This window comes from Homo sapiens, chromosome 7, assembly GCF_000001405.40.
Source record: "Homo sapiens chromosome 7, GRCh38.p14 Primary Assembly".
Classification (NCBI taxonomy): domain Eukaryota; kingdom Metazoa; phylum Chordata; class Mammalia; order Primates; family Hominidae; genus Homo; species Homo sapiens.
In genome coordinates, this window is record NC_000007.14 from 77,573,897 (window position 1) to 77,588,950 (window position 15,054).

Genomic DNA, 15,054 nt, shown 5'->3' on the forward strand with positions numbered 1-15,054 from the left:
ATTACAGGCACCCGCTGCCACATCCGGCTAATTTTTGTATTGTTAGTAGAGACGTGGTTTCACCATGTTGGCCAGGCTGCTCTCGAACTCCTAACGTCAGGTCATCCGCCTCCCTTGGCATTTACTCATTTTACAGAAAGCTTCTGAGGGTGTACTGTATGCTGGGAATGCAACAAAAAACAAACTGGCAAAAATCCCTGCCCTTGTGGAGCTTATATGTTAGTCAAGGTGATGGACGATACATATTAACATATATGGTCTGTCATGTGGTGGTAATTAGTGTTATTGAGAGTGTGGTTCGAATGAGGGATAGGGAGAAAGCAGAGAATAGAAGGGTAAGTTTACAGTTTTGGCTGGGGTAGTGGGAAAGGTTAGTGGTGTAGTGTTAAACTGGTCCTCTGAAAGTTCTGATTTGTATTGTTTGCTGATTTCTGTGATAAATGGATTATTTACCATAATCATCACAGCAAAACTCTGAGGTAAGTACTGTTATGTGCCATTTTGCAAACAGGAAACTGAGACAGAGAGGTTAAAAAGCTTGTCACACAGTTAAATATTGTGGGGTAAGAATTTAAACACAGGCGGTTTTAAAGCCTTCACTAGGGTGATTTTGCCTCTCAAGGGACACTTAGCAATGTCTGGAGAGATTTGGTTGTCACAACTGGGGTATGGGAGTGGACAGGCTGCTAATGGCATCTAACAAGTAGAGGCTAGGAATACTGCTACACATCCTGCAGTGCATAGGATGCAGCCCCCTTCCCCAAACAAAGACTTCTCGCCAAAATATATGAGTGTCAGCGTTGAGAGACCTTGTCCAAGAGCTTGAGTTCTTAATTACTGTGCAGTAATCAGATTGACAGTGCCTTTTTTCCTTTAAGTTATTTAAAGTTTGATAAGTAGGTCTCCAGTAAATTTCTAGTTATTTTGACTTGGGATTTTTTTTTCTTTTTTTTGAGACAGAATCTCACTCTTGTCGCCCTGGCTGGAGTGCAGTGTGGGATCTCGGCTCACTGCAACCTCTATCTCCCGGGTTTAAGCAATTCTCGTGCCTCAGCCTCCCAAGTAGCTGGGATTACAAGCACCTGCCACCATGCCCAGCTAATTTTTTGGTATTTTTAGTAGAGACAGGGTTTCACCATGTCGGCCAGGCTGGTCTCAAACTCCTGACCTCAGGTGATCCACCCGCTTCAGCCTCCCAAAGTACTAGGATTACTGGTGTGAGCCACTGCACCTGGCCTGGAAATTTATATTGAAAGTAATTGTACTGAGAGATATGTGCTTATTTACTGTTAGATAACTATTTAATTCATTGCCCGGGCACAGTGGCTCATGCATGTAATCCCAGCACTTTAGGAGGCCAAGCTGGGCAGATTATTTGAGCTCAGGAGTTCAAGACCAGCCTGGGCAACATAGCAAAACTCAACACACACACGCACGCACGCACGCACACACACATACTCTCTCTTTCTCTCTCTCGTGTGTACACTTGTGGTCCCAGCTACTCAGTAGGCTGATGTGGGAGGATCACTTGAGACCAGGAGGTCAAGGCTGCAGTGAACTATGATTGCACCACTGCACTCCAGCCTGGGTAACAGAGCGAGACTGTCTCAAAAAATAAGATGGAGAAGAATTTAATTCACTAACTTCCTTTGCATGTTTTAACATGTGCAGTGCTTGCAGAAATAGAATTTTTAAAACAGGTTTGAGGTATAATTTACATACCCATGAAATTTATCCATTTTAATTGTGCAATTCAATGATTTTTTTAAAGTAAATTTATAGAGTTTTGCAACAATTAATACAATCTAGTTTTAGGACATTTCCATCACCCCTAAAAGATCTGAGTCTTCAGCCCTGGGCAGCTGTTAATCAGCTTTCTGTCTGTATAGATTTTCCTTTTCTGTGAATTTAATATAAATGTAATCATACAATATATAGTCTTTTGTGTCTAGCTCTTTTAACAGTTTTTTTTTGAGATGAAGTCTCATTCTGTTGCCCAGGCTGGAGTGCAGTGGCATGATCTCGGCTCACTGCGACCTCCGCCTCCCAGGTTCATGAGATTCTCCTGTCTCAGCCTCCTGAGTAGCTGGGATTATAGGCGCACATCACCATGCCTGGCTAATTTTTTGTGTTATTTTTAGTAGATACAGGGTTTCACTATGTTGGCCAGACTGGTCTCGAACTCCTGACCTCGTGATCCGCCTGCCTCGGCCTCCCAAAGTGCTGGGATTACAGGCTTGAGCCACTGTGCCCAGCCTCTTGTTAACACATTTTAAAGATTCATTCACGATGTAGCATGCATCGATAGTTCATTCCTTTTTGTTGTTGAATAATATTCCATTGTATGAATGATGAACATATTGAATAATGCTGCTATGAACATGTCATACAACTCTCTGTGTGGACCTATGGTTTTGTTTCTCTTGGTTGGATAGCTAGCAAAACCATGGAGAGGAATAATTGTTTTCATTTTTTTGATATTTAGATTATTTCTAAATATGCTTAATAAGAGCACCAATCTGGCAGGGCGAGGTGACTCATGTCTGTAATCCCAGGACTTTGGGAGGCCGAAGCGGGCAGATCACTTGAGATCAGATCAAGACCAGCCTGGCCAATACGGTGAAACCCCGCCTCTACTAAAAATACAAAAATTAGCTAGGCATGATGGCACGTGCCTGTAGTCCCAGCTACTTGAGAGGCTGAGGCACGAGAATCACTTGAACCTGGGAGGCAGAGGTTGCAGTGAGCCAAGATGGTGCCACTGCACTCCAACCTGGGTGACAGAGCCAGACACTGTCTCAAAAAAAAAAGAGCACCAATGAAGAATATTAAAACAGCCACCCAAGTTCTTTCTCGCTACTTCTAGTTCCCGGCGCTTTGCCGGGTGTTAATGGTGGCCCAAAATCATGGGTGCTGTGGCTTTCTCCCTAAGGTGTCACAGGAGCTAAGGGTGCCACTTAACAAACTGCAGAAGATGCAGGCAGGTGAAGGACACCCAGTCTGCTGTGGCAGTGGAATGTGGCAGAAAAGCCAGCTGGGAGGGCGGGGAGCAATCCTGGAAGGCCTGGCTGACCCCACAATTGAACAGGGTTTGGTGTGTCATTGCTTTTAGGCCTTTTCAGTGGACAGAACTGGGGTGGATATACACTCATTTATTTGAAATCATGCATTTGTTCCATACTCCAATTCCAGCCCACCCCTTCTTTGCTCTATGGTCAAGTGAGTGAGAACAGGCGGCTACATTTTCAGCCTTGTTGCTCACCGCTTCCTTCCAGTAGTCCCATGTTGCTTCATATCTCTTCAGTACATGTATTATTTAGACCCAGAGCCTTGGCTTTTAAATCAGGCAGCCCCAGTTTCAAATGTGTCACTGCCATCTCAGTTTTGTGATTTGGGCATACCTCTGTCTGTGCATAGCGATATTAACTTCTATCTCCATGGGTGTGTGGTGAGGATAAAATTATGTGCTTAGAGGAAACGTTCATTCCATGGTAGCTATTTTTTATTAATTCTATACTTTTGAACCTATTATGCTACCTATAATGCCCTATTTTTTTTTTCTTTTTAATCATTGGCAAACTTCTCATTCCCTGAGACCCAGCTTGTCACACCTCTGAAGACTGCTGATATCCTCAAGATGTTCCTTACTCCCTTTCCTTGCTACTACTTTACTATGGATATATGAACAACATTATTGTGCTTATTACATGCAATAAATATTTATTGGATGAATGATACTAAAATTCACATTTAAAATGCCAAAATCAAAATACACATGATATGCTGTATAAGTAGCATAATGTTGATTTTTAAATCTAATGTGCTGTGGGTACATAGTAGAAAGCAGTGACTACCAAATTTGCCTGTGTTTTAGAATTTAAATGGGGAGTTTTAAAAAGGGTATTTCTGTGCCCCATTTTTAATTTACTGAATTGAACTTACTACAAGATGTAGTACTCCAGAAATCTTGGATTTTAATTTGCTTTCCCCAGCTGTTGAATGATTGGGGATAGATGAAATAAGATTGGCAAAATGTTGATAATGAAGCTGGGTAATGGATATACAAAGATTCATTATACTGTTCTATTTTGGTGTATGCTTAAAATTTTCCATCTTAGAAAATTTTTTAAAAAAAGAAATTACCAGCCTGCATGTAGCCAGCCTGGCACCAGTCCTAACTATCATTTGGGAGCCACTATTCTCATTTGGATTTACAGTCACCAGAAACTTTACTGAGGACCCAGTGGTAAACCAGCTATTGTATTCTGCCTTTGAGATACTTTGAATAGAGGCTAATATGTCATATGAATAAGGGTAATTAACTGAGACCCCTTATTACTGGCAAACATGGTAAGAGGAAGCTTCCTGTAGTTATTCAGCCATCATTATCCTAACCACTGAATATTCTATTCTCATTTTCCAGAGTCATAGCTTTTTTTTGTATGTGTATTTCCTATCCCAAATGGCATATAAAAAGGGGGATGGGACATGTAGGGTGGCGTGAAATAAATGACAGAGCATTGACAAACATATTTTAAACATTCTGTTTCTTAGAATACAGTGAGGAGATGAATAATTTTCACCAGAAGCAAGTATATCTTCCTTATATGTGTCTTCTACAAATTTCTAAAGAAGACTTTTTTAAAAGTAAATTTATCAATTAAATTAGCAGAACTGGGCCTTTAGTGCTATGTATAAAATTTGAGCCAATGAAAAATAAATTAGTTACTATTAGTTGTTCTTTAATACTTTGCTAAGAAGTTTATTCATGTCTGTTAACATTTCCGTATTTCCTTTTGTATTTTTACTGCCTTTGATACTCATTCATGGATTAGAAGGGATTATAATTTGATAATAATAATGGCATTTTACATGTTATATGTTATGGTCCCTTCTAATCCAGAAACAATGAATACTAGGCAATTCTACTTTAGGATTTCATAATCTGAAAGCGTCTAACCTCAAATACTTACTAACTATAAAAGGGAAAGGCAGTAACTTTCCCTTTTGGTAACCAAGCAATACCATATTAACCAAGTGACCAAGGTTAACATCACAAGTACTAAAGCATATGTATATCATGTATCCTCTGATGTGTTGTGCTGAGAAGGACACAATATCGTTCTGTGGTATTACCAAAAATTCATAACTTCGTTCCAGTCATTTAAAAAAAATCAATCAGAGAAACTTTTTTAGATTGAAGGAGACTAAGGAGAAATAAAAATTATTATTATTATTATCTTGAGATGGAGTCCCACTCTGTCACCCAGGCTGGAGTGCAGTGGCGCGATCTCGGCTTACCACAACCTCCGCTTCCTGGGTTCAAGTGATTCTCCTGCCTCAGCCTCCCGAGTAGCTGAGATTACAGGCATGCGCCACGATGCCCTGCCAATTTTTTTTGTATTTTTAGTAGAGATGGGGTTTCGCCATGTGGGCCAGGCTGGTCTCAAACTCTTAACCTCATGTGATCCGCCCACCTTGGCCTCCCAAAATGCTGGGATTACAGGGGTGAGCCACTATGCCTGGCCACTAAAAATTAAATTTAATATGAGATCCTCGAAAGAGAAAAAAGATTAGAAAACACTGACTTGTATAGTCTTGTTTAATTAATAGTTTTATAAGTGTTAATTTTGTGGTATTATTGATCATTGTCTTATGGTTATATAAGATGTTACTATTAGAGGAAGTTCAGTGAGAGGCATGGGAATTCTCTGTACTATTTTTACAGTTTTTCTATAAATCTAAAATTAGTTCTAAATAAAAAGTTTTAAACATCAGCACAAACTGGAAAAAACTATTTGCACTTCCTGTGACAGAGGGCTGATTTTTTCTTTTTACATAGATCTCATAAAAATCAGTAGGACAAAACAGACGTGGAAAAATGGGCAAAGGATATAAACAAGTGGTTTATGGAAAAAGAAGTACACAGAACCAATAAATAGATTAAAACATACAATCCTTTGCATAATTCAAGAAATGGAAATTAAAACAAGATATTTTTACTTTTTGGTTTGTCAGTGATGAAAAGTTTGGTAATACCCAGTCACCCTTATTACATAACCCTGTATAAATTGTTTCATACCTTTTAGAAGGCAAGTAGCAATTCCTCTGTTAGGAATTTACCCTACAGCAATGCTGGTAACAGCTATATATACATTAGTGTTCATTGTAGTAATGTTTTTAATAGGAAAAAAATGGCCCATCAGTAGAGTAGCTAAATAAAGAATGAAACATTCACATGATGGAATTCTCTGTTACACTAAAAAGAGTGAGATAGCCTAGTGCAAGCTGAGTGCAATGGTTCACACCTGTAATCCAAACACTTGGGAGCCTGAGCCAGGAAGATCTGTAGTCCAGGAGTTTTAGGTTCGAATGAGCTATGATTGCAGCACTGCACTTCAGCCTGAGTGACAGAGTGAGACCTTGTCTCTGTATTTTAAAATAATAGTAAAAATAATAAAGTAAATCTTTCTGTGCTTTGGGAAGAGTTCCAGGATATACTATAAACTGAAAAGTAATGATACAGAACAGCATGTATAGGATGCTTGCATTTGTGTAGTAGTTTTTCAAAGTATATAACTATATGTGTAATAAGTACACTTGGAATGGGAAAAGTAACTTTAATATAGTATCTTGATGGGAGAGAGCCCTGGAATTGAAGGGCAGGGGAGGCTTACTTTTCACTTTATACCTTTCTTTAAGGTCTAATTTTTAAAAATTATATACATATTCCTTTAAAAGAAATCAATAAAAACTTAAAAGAAAAATATACTTCATAAAATTTTTTAAAGATTTTTTTACTCTATTACCTAATAATAACTATTATTAGCCAAGAGCAGTGTTGAACACTTTTTATATATAATCTCAATTCATTAATTTGTTATAATTTGCTTTTTATAGTTTCTTGTGAAATATGAAAGTTACATTTTTTAAATAAGAATTTTAGCATATGGGCTTGTGTATCACTGGTTAGTATTCATCAGCCACTTGGTATGTTTGTTAAAAGCTGCAGAGGCTGAAACCCTAGACTCTGCTCTAGTAAATCAGAGATAATGTCCTGGAATTTGAATTTTAAAAGAGTTCCAGAGATGATTCTTATTGCAACTTTAATACACTGCTTTACGTCACTGGTGGTGGTGTTTTTTTGTTTTGTTTTGTTTTGTTTTGTTTTTTTGCTGTTGTTGTTTTGTTTTAAGACAGAATCTTCACTCTGTCGCCCAGGCTAGAGTGCAGTGGCGCAATCTTGGCTCACTGCAACCTCTGCCTCCCAGCCAGTTTCAAGTGGTTCTCCTGCCACAGCCTCCCGAGTAGCTGGGATTACAGGTGCCTGCCAGGTGGTGGTTGTCTGAAAATTTATTTCATTTCCTTTCAGTTTAATGTTAGAAATTACCCTGCTGGTACCTAGAGTCCATTTTCATCCATTGTTTTTTAAAATAAATGTTCTTAAGCTGTCTATTTAACCTTACTTACGCTTCATTAGAAAATACCTGTGTGTCAACCATACATATTTTATGAATTTTTTTCTCGTAGTTGATCACAGCCGAGTTAAATTGACATTAAAGACTCCTTCACAAGATTCAGACTATATCAATGCAAATTTTATAAAGGTATGTACTAACTTTAAATGGTGTTTCTCTGCCATATTAATGTCTTTCTACATACTAGTTTTGTAAAAACTTTTTGAATTGCTCAAACATGATACCAACAGCAAAAGAAATAAAAATAAAGCCACTGCCCTGGCACAATGTTTTTATATGCTTTCCTTCTAGCCTTCTTATTCATATAGATAAATAGTTTCTACTTAGTTTTGTGATAGCAGAGATAACATTTTCTTTTTTATTTCTTCTTTCCCATGGAAGTCTTACCTATTACTAAATTATTTTCTCAGTTATCCCTTTGGACACAAATGAACATCATCAATCCCCGTTGTTGACCCATATAGGTTGTTTCCAAATTTTTAAAATGATAATATTGCAGTAAACATCTTTGTTGTTTTGAATAATTTCTTAGGATAAATTACTAGGGGTGGGATTACTGGATAATACTGATTTAAAATTCTAGAACATAGCTTTAAATGTAAAACTTTTGGCAGTTGTCACTGTTTCAGGTGGCAACCCAAAATCCAAGATTAAATAGTCTCTTTTATAACCTTTGTTTGGATACCCTTTGATGAAAAGCAGTCAAGTTCTTTTTTTTTTTTTTTTTTTTTTTTTTTTGAGACGGAGTCTCGCTCTGTCTCCCAGTCTGGAGTGCAGTGGCGCTATCTCGGCTCACTGCAAGCTCTGCTTCCCGGGTTCACGCCATTCTCCTGCCTTGGTCTCGATCTCCTGACCTGTGATCCACCCGCCTCTGCCTCCCAAAGTGCTAGGATTATAGGCGTGAGCCACTGCGCCCAGCGTCAAGTTCTTTATGGTAGCAGTAGAGATAGATGCAAAGTGCTACTTGATTCAGTTTAAATAAAAGGCTTTTTTTCCATCAGCTAATCTGTGATTTTTAATCTTTCAAGTGATATGATAGTATAATTTTCATTTATTTTATATATGGTGTTTATACATATTTTCATGTTTTTGTTGATAAAAATGTTAACTGATAAAAGTTTATGCCAGGCCGGGCACGGTGGCTCATGTCCGTAATCCCAGCACTTTGGGAGACCTAGGCGGGTGGATCACCTGAGATCAGGAGTTCGAGACCAGCCTGGCCAACATGGGGAAACCCAGTCTCTACTAAAAATACAAAAATTAGCCGGTCATGGTGGTGCATGCCTGTAATACCAGCTTCTCGGGAGACTGAGGCAGGAGAATCGCCTGAACCCAGGAGGTGGAAGTTGCAGTAAGCCGAGATCGTGCCAATGCACTCCAGTCTGGGTGACAGAGCAAGACTCCGTCTCAAAAAAAAAAAAAAAAGTTTATGTGGTAAAATTATTATCTATGTCAATATTCAGCAGTCATGGTTTTAAATAAAAATTTCTTTTTTTAACAAAGTTAAAAACCAAAATGAATACATTAAATAAAAACTAATAAATTGATAGTTTGCTATTTCAGATGTTGTCAATGTTCATATTCTTTTTTTAAGGCTGTTTGTTAAAAGTTATAGTTTTTACTTATGCTTAATGACACTGATTCATTGTATGAGTCAGTTATGTACCAGTTTAGTATTTTAGTCAGTGACATTGTTTGGTTTATATTCTCATGTTCATTATTAAAAACCTGTATAGTAGATGCTTGATAAACTTTTGAGTTGAATAGATAATGGAAGGTAGCTATGGAAGAAACTAAGAAAGAGCTCTTCACTAGTTTTAGTATTGTTTTAGAATCAGAGCATGCTCTGTATTTCTGCCAGTTAGCTTTGTTGAGTAGGTATTAGGGCTTTTGTTATTAATGCCTAGATAAGTAATAATTTTTAATTAGCATAAGGCGGTTCTTAAATACCTATTCTGTGCACCATATCCAGTAAACACAAAGTAATAGCAGTCATCAAAAGCTTAAGTGAATTGAATATATTTTGCCATGCTTTAATATACTATGAAAGACACATTATTTGGAAATGGTTTAAGTTAAAACAACAATATTACTAATACAATTTGAAACCTTATATTTTGGGTAATGAAATATTTTTGGTAATCAAAATAAATGTGAAATTTGCTTTTAACCATTTTTAGGGCGTCTATGGGCCAAAAGCATATGTAGCAACTCAAGGACCTTTAGCAAATACAGTAATAGATTTTTGGAGGATGATATGGGAGTATAATGTTGTGGTAAGTAATTTACTTTTCACAATAAATTTTGAGAAATACTTATGTAATAACATAGGCTATTTTACTGAATAAGGAATGAGGGGATTTTTAAAAAATCCATAATTATGTTTACTTATTGCTGATGTTTACTAAAAAGATGGACCCATTTTTAGGATGTCTCATTAAATTTTTACAAACTAGGCTAAATATTTTAAGAAGGTGTGATAATAATTTAAATCTTGTCCTAAGTCAGTAAGTAATGATACAGCTATCAAACAACTTATAAAAAGCAGAAAAGGATTAGTGCTCTAATAGGTCAGTAAAATACTTGATAGTACAGTTATACTCATTTGAGTCCCTCTTCTCAGGAAAATATATATAAACACATAACTATAAATAGACTATAAATATGCAGTATAAGAGAATTTCATCTATCCCTGGAGTTCATTCAGTGCCCTCTTGTTCTTTTGGATGAAGGGAAATAATATGCCCTTAGATTTAGAAGCAGAGAAATTAGAATACTGCGAAGAGCTACCCTATACTGCTCTGTAGTATTCTTGAAACCTAACCATGTGCATTGATACTTTTCATTGTGTGGATGTGGAAAATCAGTAATGTGAAACTTTCATTTTTGTCTTACGGCTTTTTAATGGAATTGTAATGATTCTAAAGCATTGACATGCTCTGGTCTTTGAAAGATTAATAAAAGGGGGGAAATTTTCCAGTTATTTATATTTGCTGTACTTCACTTTAAAAACTAGATGTGCTTGGGGATTGAGAAAGAGCATGAAGAAACTTTCTGGATGATGGGAACATCCTGTATCTTGATAAGATTTGTGTTGCACAGATGTGTGTATTTGTCCAAACTCGGAGAATGTTCACTTTAGGATTTGTGCATTTCATTATATGTAAAATTTGCCTCAAGGGAAAAATACTGGAAACAATATAAAAATTATGTTCTAGATTGGCCGCGTGGGGTGGCTCATGCCTGTAATCCCAGCACTTTGGGAGGCCGAGGTGGGCAGATCACGAGGTCAGGAGATCGAGACCATCCTGGCTAACACGGTGAAACCCTGTCTCTACTAAAAATACAAAAAATTAGCTGGACGTGGTGGCGGGCGCCTGTAGTCCCAGCTACTCAGCAGGCTAAGGCAGGAGAATGGCGTGAACCCGGGAGGCAGCGCTTGCAGTGAGCTGAGATAGCGCCACTGCACTCCAGCCTGGGCGACAGAGCGAGACTCCGTCTCAAAAAAAAAAAAAAAAATTTATTGTGTTCTAGATAATAATATGCATGCTGAAGTATTTTGGGGAGAGTGTACTGATGTTCACAACTTACTTTGAAATGCATTTTTAAAATAAGATGGATTGATAGAGGGATAGCTATGTGATAAAACATGGTGAAATGTTAATGATAGAATATAGGTGATGGCTATACAATGTTTACTGTAAAATTCTCAACTATGCTGTGTGTTGGAAAGTTTACATTATAAAATGGGAAAAAGCAGGTGTGATCAACTTTTAAAATGGTGTTAAACGCATTCAATATTTAAATAATTATAAATATATTTTTAATTAATAGTGCTATTTATAATTAGGTAAATATCCTAAAAGTGATATTTTAATATAATTTCAGAAGTCACAAAGTAAATCTGTAAGATTTACATGATTTAATTCAAACCAAAAACATCATGTTAATTGGAACCAATTTAATTTGTTGCTGTATAGTTAGCCCTTGTTTGGAAAGTCTAATTTTGATAATTTCTTTAACTTACACATTTAATATTGAAACTACTTTTTTAGGCAAGCCAATTATACTTCTCGGTGCAAAATTCTTGAAATCTGTATTTTATTAAAAAGTAAAATTGTGTTTAACTGATACGTTCTTTATCTCACTCCCCACCATCACTTTTTAGATCATTGTAATGGCCTGCCGAGAATTTGAGATGGGAAGGGTATGTATAATCTATTCCTCTTACTATTTCATTTTTACGGATAAATATTCTTAGTCTTTTATTATTATAGTCTTAACATAAGCGGTTAATGTAGATACTTCTTTTATTTTGGGGTACTGCTGTTGCTTTTATTTCATACAAGGGACAAAATAATCTCTCAAGCATGTTGTTTTCTTTTATATTTTGTAAGTATGTTTTATCACACACAGGCATACCTCAGAGATATTATAGGTTCAGTTCCAGACCACCACAATAGCGCAATTCAAACAAATTTTTTGTTTTCTTAGTGCATATAAAAGTCATATTTATACTGTATTATAGTCTGTTAAATGTTCAGTAGCATTATACCTATAAAACACTTCATGCCTTATTTTATTTTTTTATTTTTTCTAGACAGAGTCTCGCTCTGTTGCCCAGGCTGGAGTGCAGTGGTACAATCTTGGCTCACTGCAACCTCCGCCTCCCAGGTTCAAGCGACTCTCCTGCCTTAGCCTTCTGAGTAGCTGGGATTATAGGCATGTGCCACCACAACTGGCTAATTTTTGTAGTTTTAGTAAAGATGGGGTTTCACCATGTTGGCCAGGCTGGTTTCGAACTCCTGACCTCAGGTGTTCTGCCCACCTCGGCCTCCCAAAGTGCTAGGATTATAGACGTGAGCCACTGCGCCTGGCCTTCCATGCCTTAATTTAAAAATAATTTATTGCTAAAAAATGTTAATGATCATCTGAGCCTTCAGCTAGTTGTAATCTTTATGCTGGTAAAGGGTTTTGTTGACGTTGATGGCTGCCGACTGATCAAGTTGGTATTTGCTAAAGGTTGGGGTAGCTGTGGCAATTTTTGATAAAATACAAGACAGGACCAGGAACGGTAGTTCACATTTGAATCCCAGCACTTTGGGAGGTGGAGGTGGGAGGATCACTTGAGCCCAGAAGGTTGAGGCTGCGGTGAGCTATGATTATGCTACTGTACTCCAGCCTGGGCAGAGGGAGACTCCACCTATAAAAACATAAAATAAGAAACAGTGAAGTTTGCCACATTGATTGTCTCTTCCTTTCATGAAAGATTGCTCTGTAGCATGCCATGCTGTTTGATAGCAACAGCAGTTGCTGTTCTACCCACAGTAGAACTACTTGGCAAATTGGAGTCAGTCCTTTCAAACCCTTCCACTGCTTTATCAACTAAGTTGATTTAATGTCCTAAATCCTTTGTTGTCATTTCAAGTGCTCACAGCATCTTCACCAAAAGTATATTCCATCTCAAGAAAGTAGATTCCATCTCAAGAAACCACTTTATTTTCTTATCCGTAAGAAGCAACTCCTCATCCATTCCAGGTTTTATCATGAGATTGTGGCAATTCATTTCCATCTTCAAGCTCCACTTCTGATTCTCTTTGTTGTTTCCACCACATTTGCAGTTACTTCCTCTACTGAAGTCTTGAACCTCTCAAAGTTATCACGAGGGTTGGAATTAACTTTTTCCAAACTCGTGTTAATCTTGATATTTCGACCTCCTCCCACGAATCATGAATGTAATTAATTGCATCTAGAATGCTGAATCCTTTCCAGAAGGTTTTCAGTTCACTTTCCCTAGACCCATCAGAGTAATCATGATTTATGGCAGCTTTAGCTTTACAAAATATGTTTCTTAAATAATAAGACTTGAAACTCAAAATTACTCCTTGATCCATGGGCTGCAGAATGGATGTTGTATTAGCAGGCATGAAAACATATTAATCTCCTTGTACATGTCCATCAGAGCTTTTGGGTGACCAGGTGCGTTGTAAACGGAAATATTTTGAAAGGAATTTTTTTTTCCAACCAGTAGTCCCCAGTAGTGAGCTTAAAATATTCATTAAACCATGCAATAGGGATGGGCTGGGGGTGGGGTTGAAAAAACAAAAACATGCTGTAAACAGATGTGCTGACATCCAGGCCTTACTCCATTTATAGAGGACAGACAGAGTACATTTGGCATGATTTTTAGAGCCCTTAGGATTTTCAGAATGGTAAATGAGCATTGGCTTCAACTTAATGTCACCAGCTGCATTAACCCCTAACAAGAGAGTCAGCATGTCCTTTGAAGCTTTGAAGCTAGACGTTGACTTCTTTTCTCTAGTTCTGAAAATCCTAGATGGCATCTTCTTCCAATATAAGGATGTTTCATCCATACTGAAAATATGTCATTTAGTATAGCTTGTTTCATCAGTGCTCTTAGCTTAGATCTTTGGATAACTTGCTGCAGCCTCTAAATCAGAATTTGGTGCTTCATCTCGCACTTTTATGTTATGGGGACAGCTTCTTTCCTTAAACTTCGTGAACCAGCCTTTGCTAGCTTCTAACTTTCCTTCTGCAGCTTCCTCACACTTTATAGAAATGAAGGGAGTTAGTGCCTTGCTCTGGATTAGGCTTTGGCTTGTAGAAATGTTGCAGCTGGTTTGATCTTCTATCTAGACCACTAAAACTTTCTCCATGTAAGCAATAAGGCTGTTTGACCTACTTAATTTTTGTGTGTTTCCTGGAGTAGCTCTTTTAATGTCCTCCAAAAACTTTTCCTTTTTGTTCTAAACTTGGCTGATTAGTACAAGAGGCCTACCTTTCTGCCTATCTCAGTTTTCAACATGCCTTCTTTACTAAGCTTAATCATTTTTAGCTTTTTTATTTAAAGTGAAAAGTTTGTGACCCTTTTCACTTGAATACTTTGAGGCCATTGTAGGGTTATTAGTTAGTCTAATTTCAATATTGTGTCTCAGGAAATAGGAAAGCCCAAGGAGAGGAAGAGAGACTGTACAAAAACTTGTCAATGGAACAGTGAGAATGCTCACAACATCTGTTGATTAAGTTTGCCATTTTATATGGGAGCAGTTTGTAGCACCCCAAAACAGAGTAGTAACTTCAAACATCACTGATCAGATTACAATAACAGATATCATCATAATGAAAAAGTTTGGAATACTGCAAGAGTTTCCAAAATGTGACACAGACCTGAAGTGAGCATATGCTGTTGAAAAAATGATACCGATATACTTGCTTGGTGCAGGGTTGCCACAAAACTTCAATTTGTAAAATATGCAGTGTCTGAGAAACACAGTAAAATGAGGTATGCCTGTACTTAACAATAATTAATTAGGTATTGTTACTTAGTAAACTTCAAATATTCAGTGGTGTTGTAACTAGAATGCTATCTATGGACTGAAATAGAGAGGTATTTTTAAATAGGAATAAAATTGAACAAGTGGAAATACATTTTAAAAATCTGGTTATCATTAATATATGGTTTGAATTTTTGTTTGTTTGTTTGTTTTGAGACTGTGAGACAGAATCCTGCTGTGTCAGTCAGGCTGGAGTGCAGTGGCGCGATCTCGGCTCACTG

The 15,054-nt window shown here is 37.3% G+C and overlaps 1 protein-coding gene across 11 annotated transcripts in view; it reads left to right on the forward strand.

Annotated features, from left to right (window-relative positions):
* Window positions 1-15,054, forward strand: part of PTPN12 (protein tyrosine phosphatase non-receptor type 12) — a 102,775-nt gene that overhangs the window by 36,602 nt on the left and 51,119 nt on the right. For 5 of the 11 annotated variants that reach the window (XR_007060120.1, NM_002835.4, NM_001131008.2 and 2 more), the window contains exons 3-5: window positions 7,531-7,607; window positions 9,659-9,754; window positions 11,647-11,685. Coding sequence is in view for 9 of the 11 variants with exons in the window: in NM_002835.4 (NP_002826.3) it covers window positions 7,531-7,607; window positions 9,659-9,754; window positions 11,647-11,685 (212 nt within the window). In the remaining 2 variants the exon portion in view is untranslated. Of the gene's footprint in view, window positions 1-7,530; window positions 7,608-9,658; window positions 9,755-11,646; window positions 11,686-15,054 lie in introns of those variants that run through there. The other 6 variants (XM_006716073.5, NM_001131009.2, XM_047420674.1 and 3 more) reach the window with 2 other exon arrangements.